Below are 8,587 nucleotides of genomic sequence, written 5' to 3'. Positions count from 1 at the left end.
AAGGTGCATGAGAGAGAAACCAGGGGAATCAAACGCAACCTTTTTATCAGGGACCCACTTTCTTTATAACTAACCCACTCCAGCAATAATAGAATTAATCCCTTCATGAGGGTAGAGCCCTTGTAACCTAATCACCTCTTAAAGGTTCCACCTCTCAACACTGTTGCATTGGGGGTTGAGTTTCCAAAACGTAAACCTTGGGGAAAACGTTCAAGTCATAGCATTCTGCTCCTGACTCCTAAAATTTATGTTCTTTTCACATGCAAAGTGCATTCATTTTACTCCAAAAGTCCCAAAGTCTTAACTCACTCCAACACCACCTCAGAAGTCCAAAGTCCACAGTCTCATCTGAATCAGACATGTGTGAGACTCAAGGCATGATTCATCCCGTTGCTAATTTCTTTAAGACTGTGAAATTAACAAGTTAGGTGTGTCCAAAATACAATGGTGGAACAGGCACAGGATAGACATTCTCATTCCAAAAGGAGAAGTAGGCAGAAAGAAAGAGGTAGCTGGTCCTGAATAAGTCTAAAACCAAACAGGGAAAACAAGTTCTAAGCTGGAGAATAATCTCCCTCAACTCTATGTTCTGCATCCTAAGTACACTGAGGTGAGAATTGAGCCCCCAAGGGCTCAGGCAGACCTGCCCCTAAGACTTTGCTGGACTCAGGCCACCCAGCAGCTCTCACTGCTTGGAGTCTCCCACCTGCAGCTTTTCCAGGCTGGAGTTGCATGCTGGTAGCTCTACAGTTCTGTGGTCTTCAGGACTACCCAACTCCCACTACTCCACTATGCATTTCCCTAGTGAGGGTGCTCTGTGGTGACTCCGCCCCATGACAAGCATCTGCTTGGGCCCTCAGGCTGTCTGATATATCCTTTGAAATCTAGGTGGAGGTTTTCTTGACTCCACAGCTCCTGTAATCTATGCGTCTGCAGAGTCAGCCCCAGGAGGATGTTGCCAAGGTTTAACGTGCAACTTCTGGAGCTGGGCAGGAGCTGCAGCTGAGCTCACTTGAGCCATATCTGGGGCAGCCAAGGAGTGCTGTGCCTAGATGTGTGCAGCAGAGTCCTGAGGCTATGGGCATCGTGATGCTGAGGTCCCACAGGTGTCTCTCTGGAAACCTTTCCCTCAGGGTCCCAGCTTGTCTTTAGATCTCTGAAGTGCCTTTGGGATCATTCTCTCATTGTCTTGATGAGTAAAACTTGGCTTCCTTCTATCCCTATTAATCTATTTAGCAAGTAGCCACTTGGCCTCATACTTAGTATTCTCCCCAGAACATTATTTATTTATTTATTTTTCCTTTTGAGACGGAGTCTTGCTCTGTCACCAGGCTGGAGTGCAGTGGCTCAATCTTGGCTCACTGCACCCTCCGCCTCCCGGATTCAAGGGATTCTCCTGCTTCAGTCTCCTGAGTAGCTGGCACTACAGATGCATGCCACCATGCCCAGCTAATTTTTGTATTTTTAATAGAGACAGGGTTTCACCATGTTGGCCAGGATGGTCTCAATCTCTTGACCTCGTGATCCTCCCACCTTGGCATCCCAAAGTGTTGGGATTACAGGCGTGAGCCACCACACCCGGACTTTTTTTTTTTTTTTTTTTTTTTTTTTCATTTTTTACATGGCTCGGCTCAGATTTTTAAAATCCTTCCACTCTGCTTCATTTTTTATTTTAAATTTCATCTTTAAATAATTTCTCTCTTCTCTCACTTTATTGTAAGTGGCCAAAAGTAACCATGCAGCAATTTGAATGCTTTTCTCTTTAGGTATTTCTTCTGCCATATTTCCTAGTTCATTGTTCTTAAACTCTACCTTCTGTAAGCCCAACAGCATGGAAACAATTCAGCCAAGATTTTTGCCCTTTATGACAAGGATAGTTTTTAACTCCAATTTCCAATAAGACATTCCTAAAGGAATATAATGGGCATAATTCAGAATTTTGTCCATGCCCTCATGGACACATCATCAGAATTTTTTTTTTTTTTTACATTCCATATTTTTACCAACATTCTGATTACAACCACATAACTAATCCCTAAGATTTAGGGTCTCCCTACAGCTCCTGTCTTCGCATAGGCCTTTACCAGAAAATGCCTTTAATGTTCCATTTGTGGCAATATAGGCTTTTTCTAGCCTACTGCTCCAAATTCTTCCAGCCCCTATTACCTAGTTTCAAAGCTGTTTCCATATATTCAAGAATTGTTTACAGTAACAGCCCTATGTCTCAATAGCAATTTTCTGTCTTAATCAATTTTGTATTGTTATAAGACTACCACAGATTGTGTCATTTATAATAAATACAGCTCTATTCAGCTCAAAGTTCTGGAGGCTGGAAAGTCCAAGATAATGGGGCCTCATCTGGCTTCATCATAACATGGAAGAAGGCATCACATGGCAAAAGAGTCCTCCAGAGAGAGCCAGAAAGGGGGTAAAATTCAATATTTTTATTCAGGAACCCACTGCTACAATAACTAATCTGATCCAACAGCAATGTTAATTCATTTGTGGAGGTAAGAACGCTTATGATTATCTGTTAAAGGCCCCAACTCTCAACACTGTTGCTTCAGGAATTAAGGTTCTAACACATAAACTTGAGGACACATTCAAACCATATTACCAACTTATTTCAAGTCAAATAATTTTGCAGTCAGTAAAACTAGGGATAATTTCTGTGAAGTGGTATAATCATATTTGATTATATGGCTTACGACCTCCAGTTTGATTTTAGCAATTAACCTTTGTCTACAAGTAAAAAAAAAATAGAAATGATTAGGACATGGAACAGTGGTTAACCGTGTATGTTCTGGAGATTGTCTGTCTGTATTTAAATTAAGACTGTGTCCCTTACTAGCGGTGTGACCCTGGGAAGTTTAGTAATACCTGAACCTCAGTTTCTGTATCTGTAAAGTAAGGATTGAGGACTAAAGTCTGACTTTTTTTTTTCTTGCTCAAATTCCTACCTAAGGGGTTTGAGGGGCCATGTCCTACAAACCACAAAGTCTCATCAGAGGGGTCTATTTGACCCTATATAATGTGGCCTGTTTTCCAACCTGACCCTTGTATAGCATCACATAACAAATAAAGAAAGAAATCAAAATATTTAACCTCAAATATATTTCCTTGTCATATCTTGAAATCGCCCTGCAAAGTTGTCTCTTGTGGGAAAAAATCTACATTCTGTAAAGAATCCCTTTTCCCCTTTTTTTTCTTTCCATATTCAGGAGATAATCACCTAAGAGTCAGGCACCTTTTTTAAGTCCAATAAGAAAACCTTTTATAATCTATTCTCTCTGAAGCCTGCTAGCTAAAAGCTTTCCTCTTCACAATAAAACTTTGGACTCCACAATCCTTTATCTTACCCCATACATTTTCTTTCTATTGATCCCAGGTCCTTAGACAACTCAACAAATTGTCAACTAGAAATTTTTAAAATTTACCTATAGCCTGAAAGCTGCCATTTTGAGTTGTCCCTCCTTTCTGAATCAAGCCAGTTGTACATCTTAAATGCATTTCATTAACGTCTTATGTCTTCCAAAATTGCATAAAACCAGGCTGTGCTCTAACCACCGCAGGCACATGTTCTCAGGATCTCCTGAGGTCTCTGTCATGAGCCATGGTCACTCATACTTGGCTCAGAATAAATCTCTTCAAATATTTTAGAGTTTGACTCTTTTCATTGACAGGATAATAACACCACATGTTTCAAAGCATCGTTATGAAAACAGAATAAAATATTGCACGTTAAGTGCTTAGCACAATTCCAGGGTTAATCATCTTCATTAAGATAGAATATACTCCTGTGAGCTCCAACACAATGCCGCAGTCCACTGCTGTTTGGACATAAGAAGGTACGAAAGGGGCCGGGTGTGGTGGCTCAGGCCTGTAATCCCAGCACTTTGGGAGGCCAAGGCAGGCAGATCACCTGAGGTCGGGAGTTCGAGGCCAGCCTTACCGACATGGATAAATCCCATCTCTACTAAAAATACAAAATTAGCTGGGCATGGTGGCGCATGCCCTGAACCCAGGAGGCAGAGGTGGTGGTGAGCCGAGATCGTGCCATTGCACTCCAGCCTGGGCAACAACAGCGAAACTCTCTCTCAAAAAAAAAAAAAAAAAAGAAAAGAAAAGAAAAGAAGAAGGTATGAAGGTCAGAGTCACCACTGCACTGGAAATGCCTGGCTCTTCCACACCACATAATGTAATCCATTAGAGCCTCTCATTGTGCAGATCTACCAGCATAAATCGATGTATTGAACGCAACACATTTTATAAGGTAGCTATCAAAGAGTGTTAGGCAGGGGAGGGACAGGATCCGTTTTGTATTGCAGAAAGAATAAACTGACAGCATAAGGAATATGGGTTAGCTTGATCGACACAAGGCCAAAGTTCTACAACAGAGATTGTTGGGAGAATTATGAGAGTCTGATCAAGGGTAATAGCAGTGAAGATGGGAGGAGGGGACATTCTTAAAAATGTTAAAATGATAGAACTCTTTAGATGTGCTAGCTAAGTAGGTTTAGGATTTTGAAAGGTCAATTCTTCTGGTGCCCAACTTTCTATTTTCATTTCCCCAATCCCTCTTTATGCTTTCATTTGTTCATGTGTCCTATTTGTCTTATGTATCAGTCTTTTCTATCCATAATAGAGAAATGATAAAATAGATCTACGGTTGATCTTTCAATTTAATGTTGTGGGGATTCCCAGAAAGAGGATGAGACAGAGAATAGTAGGGGAGAAGAAACCAAACGGCAGAGGAAGAAGATCTGGACCCAGGAAATCTGTATGAGAGTATGGTCCTCTTGTGCTCAGCACATTCCAGCCAGTCACAGGACGCTTGGAAGAGGATGGTGCACAACCTTTCCAATTCTGGGATTCTAAAAGACCAGGAACACTCTGCCTTGAAATGTTACACCAATAATTTCCTTCAAGACTAGTGCTCAGAATGGAAAGGCTGGGCTGTAGATCATTCAGTTGGACTGAAACAATCACATAAATACGACTGAAGAAACACATTTCTGTTTCCATTTAGAACTGAGAAACATAATGCCAGGGCATTTGAAAGGCAGTGAGCAGTTTGCTATACAGTCTTGATATAAAGACTAAAATACTTAACATGGTCTACAAAGCCTACGAGGGCTGGCCTGTGCCTGGCAACCATCCACCCTCCATTGATACCTGACTGCCATATTGCCCATTTATTTTCTCAACCTCCACCACATGCTGCCATGCTGGGGCCTTCACTCTTGCTGGCCTTTTTGATTGAAGCACTTTCCCTACTCCTCATCCATCTGGAAAGTGTCCATTCATTTTGCACACCTCACCTTAGCTTAGGGAAAGGGGACCTGCTGTGTTATCTCTTTCAGGTCAGCCTCCTTAGACTTTTCTATAAGAGCAGTCTGTGTTTCCATAATATCTATTTTCATTCTCCCAAACATGTATTCTGATTGTCATTATACAATAGTTGATTGATACATACATATATATATATATATATATTTTTTTTTTTCAACTAAACCATAAACTACACAGGAGTAGGTCCCAGGTTTGCTTTTCCATGCCACTACTTCTTTGACTCACAAAAAGCTTGGAGTATTCTAAATGCTGACAATACTGAAAGAAATGATAAATGAGTACATTGGCATTGTAACATTTAATTTTGTGGAATCCAGATTCCATGAAACAATCAGGATGTCATGAAGGAAGCAGTGGTTCAGGAGACAAGTGAAAAACCCAAAAAGAAGAAAAAAGAAAAAGCCTCAGGAGGCTCCTTGGGAGAATGGAATGGAAGACTTATCTACTTTTTTCTCCAAATCCAAGAAAAAAACACATTTTTCTAAGGAGGATTTGGACAGTAGCTGTATTAGTCTGCTTTCATGCTGCTATAAAGAAATACCTGAGCTGGATAATTTATAAAGGAAAGAGGTTTAATTGACTCACAGGTCCATATGGCCAGGGAGGACTCAGGCAACTTACAGTCATGGTGGAAGGCAAAGGCAAAGCAAATTTGGATCTTCTCACAAGTCTGCAGGAGAGAGAGAGGAGTGAGCAGCAAAGGGGGAAGGGTCTCTTATAAAACCATCAGATCTCAGATCTCATGAGAACTCACTCACTATCACAGGAACAGCACGGGGTAAACCAGCTCATGATCCAATCACCTCCAAATAGGTCTTTCCCTAGACATGTGGGGAATATAGGGTTTACAATTTGAGTAGAGATTTGGGTGGGGACACAGCCAAATCATATCTGCAGTGATCTTGAAGAGGCCACTGGCAGCACAGTTCTTCCCAGGAAGAAGAAATCTTCACCCAAGGAAGAAATAGGTAGGGATCCCAAAGAGGCAAACAACAGGAGTATCTCCCAGGAAGAGCAAATTCTCTTCCGAAGAGGCGCCAGTCAGCAGTGGACCTGAAGAGGCTGCTGGCAGCCAAGAGCAACTCCAAGAAAAAGAAAATGTTCCATAAACCACTCCAGGAAGATTAGAATGTGAATGGACATTCCATGGGAGGTGGGGCAAACCATACCCCAAGGTGAGATTTACCACCCTGTGACCTACAGCCCACTAAAAACAAATTCACACACATGCAAATCCTTTTACCAAAGCAAGTATTATCTCCGTTTGTATAGATAAAGAAAGCGAGGCCCAAAGTGATTTTGCTAAACTTGCTGAGTCACTGATGCTGGATTTGACTCTTACCCATGGCATCTTACACACCGGGATCTTCTCTATGTGCCTATTTTTCCTTCCACAAAGGTGGCCTTTATATGCACAGAATTTACATAGGCAGTCCTCATCTTGGGGATATTTCCATTCTCAAATCCTTGACGATTTATTTATGAAAGCCACATGGCCCAGCAAATGCTGAAACACAGATTGAATGCCACAAGGAAGGAAATAAAAAACTTAATTGTGAATCCCCATATTTGTTTCTGGTTAATGTTCCCTGAGAAAAACAGAGAACTAAAAAGAACCTACACACCCACCGACCTACCCACCCTCTGACCCACACACAACTTACATTTCTCAACCCCTTTTAAGTGGCTCAGAAGTGCCAGAATCAGTGAGACCCATCATAACCTCCACAAAGAAGTGCTCCACAGGCTGATAACCAGAAGCAGTAAATAACAGACGGGGAAAAAAGATCAGAGTTTTATACAGAAAAATATAAGGTTATAGCACGTAGAGAAAAATATGTGAGTGGTAGCTTCAGTTTCCTATTTAATTTGTGTGTTTATAATCTGAAAACTCATATTCTGTTTAATACGTATGTATTCAGCTCAAACTTTGGAGTGCTTGCCACACACTAACCTTCTGCTACAACCCTGGGAAAATGGAGATGAATAAGGAAAGGTCTTTGGCCACAGGTTATTAAATTGGTGGGAGGAAAACTCATACCAGAAACTTCTAATTAAGATGATCATGACCGTGACACTGGTACATTTTCAATATACCAGAACTGTGGAGAAGGAAACAATGTGGTTCTCCATTTGGAGTTTCTTTTGTTATTATGATTATTTTTTCTCTTCTTACACAAAAAAGTTAGTATCAGAGTCAAGAATGCAACATGTATTACATTGCTGTTTTTACATGACATCTGATTCAATTGGCTTGGTTTGAAACAGGACAGGTTATGACCTGATTTTAAGGTCAAAAACCAATTTAAGTTTGAGAGAAATCTGTAAAATGTCAGTGTGCTCAGTTACTTTCTTGGCTTGTCAGGTTTAGGACCTCAAAAGTGTCAGCTTAGGATATTCTACCATTTCTACAAGAGTGGCATGCACTTTATCCTACCATGCACAGAGAGCAAAATAATAATGGAGATGTGAATTTTGAACAGACGGAGCTTCCATGAGGGAATCAGCATGTACCGACGGAGACTCTGCAGGTGAAAACTGCCTTATGCCATTAAGGGTTAAGTGTGGTGTCCCCAGCAATAGAGAAACGAAGATCTGTTTCTGAGGGCATTGAGGAGCCGGCCTGGTCATTCGTGGAATGAGAAAATGAAGGTTCCATTTAGCTGGTGCATCAGTCTTCAGGAGCAGAGGTCAGTGGTGATGGAGTAGAATAAAACAAGGCAGAGGCACCCGCGGATTTCTCCTGCTATTTCACGAGTGACCTCATTTGACTCTCCTCCCTGCTGCTGACACGTCCTTTCCTTTAAAATTACATGTAGTGCTAAACAAATGGGTCTCTTCAGAGTCACTTAGCAGAACTAATCAGCACACCAGCCTGGTTTCAAAATGAAGGGTCCATTCCACGGTGGAGGAAGGCCATTACTTTTGTATCCTCCATCCGAATTGGGGTCACCTGCAACTCTGAAGGAATTGGTGCTCTGTTCCTTTATTCAAGGCAAGAAATTGTACCCCTGTCACACTGAAATCTCATTCTTCCATCTTAAAACTCATTTCCTTTTATAAAGGAGTGTTTTTCTTCCAGACTTTTCACATACTGGCTAGAAATTGTGTTCAGCCCCCACGCACATAAAAAGTTAACATTGTCTGTAATGCTGCCAGAGGCGGTGTTTCTTGTGGAAGGGGAATTGCCTGGTAGTGAGAAGAGGCTAGTGAAAAAAACACATGCTTTAATAAA

At 41.3% G+C, this 8,587-nt stretch overlaps 1 annotated feature.

Moving 5' to 3' along the window:
- Positions 6,031-7,230: an enhancer, noted in NCBI's record as "MED14-independent group 3 enhancer chr16:64567687-64568886 (GRCh37/hg19 assembly coordinates)". NCBI's record gives its function as "activates an origin of replication core promoter dependent on BRD2, BRD4, P300/CBP and CDK7 cofactors, and independent of MED14, by STARR-seq in HCT116 cells {active_cell/tissue: HCT116}" and the evidence as "EXISTENCE:reporter gene assay evidence [ECO:0000049][PMID:35650434]".

The sequence above is a fragment of the Homo sapiens genome, chromosome 16, assembly GCF_000001405.40.
Source record: "Homo sapiens chromosome 16, GRCh38.p14 Primary Assembly".
Classification (NCBI taxonomy): Eukaryota; Metazoa; Chordata; class Mammalia; order Primates; family Hominidae; genus Homo; species Homo sapiens.
Note: the sequence above shows the minus strand (reverse complement) of the source record. Positions and strands in the feature narration are given on the sequence as shown.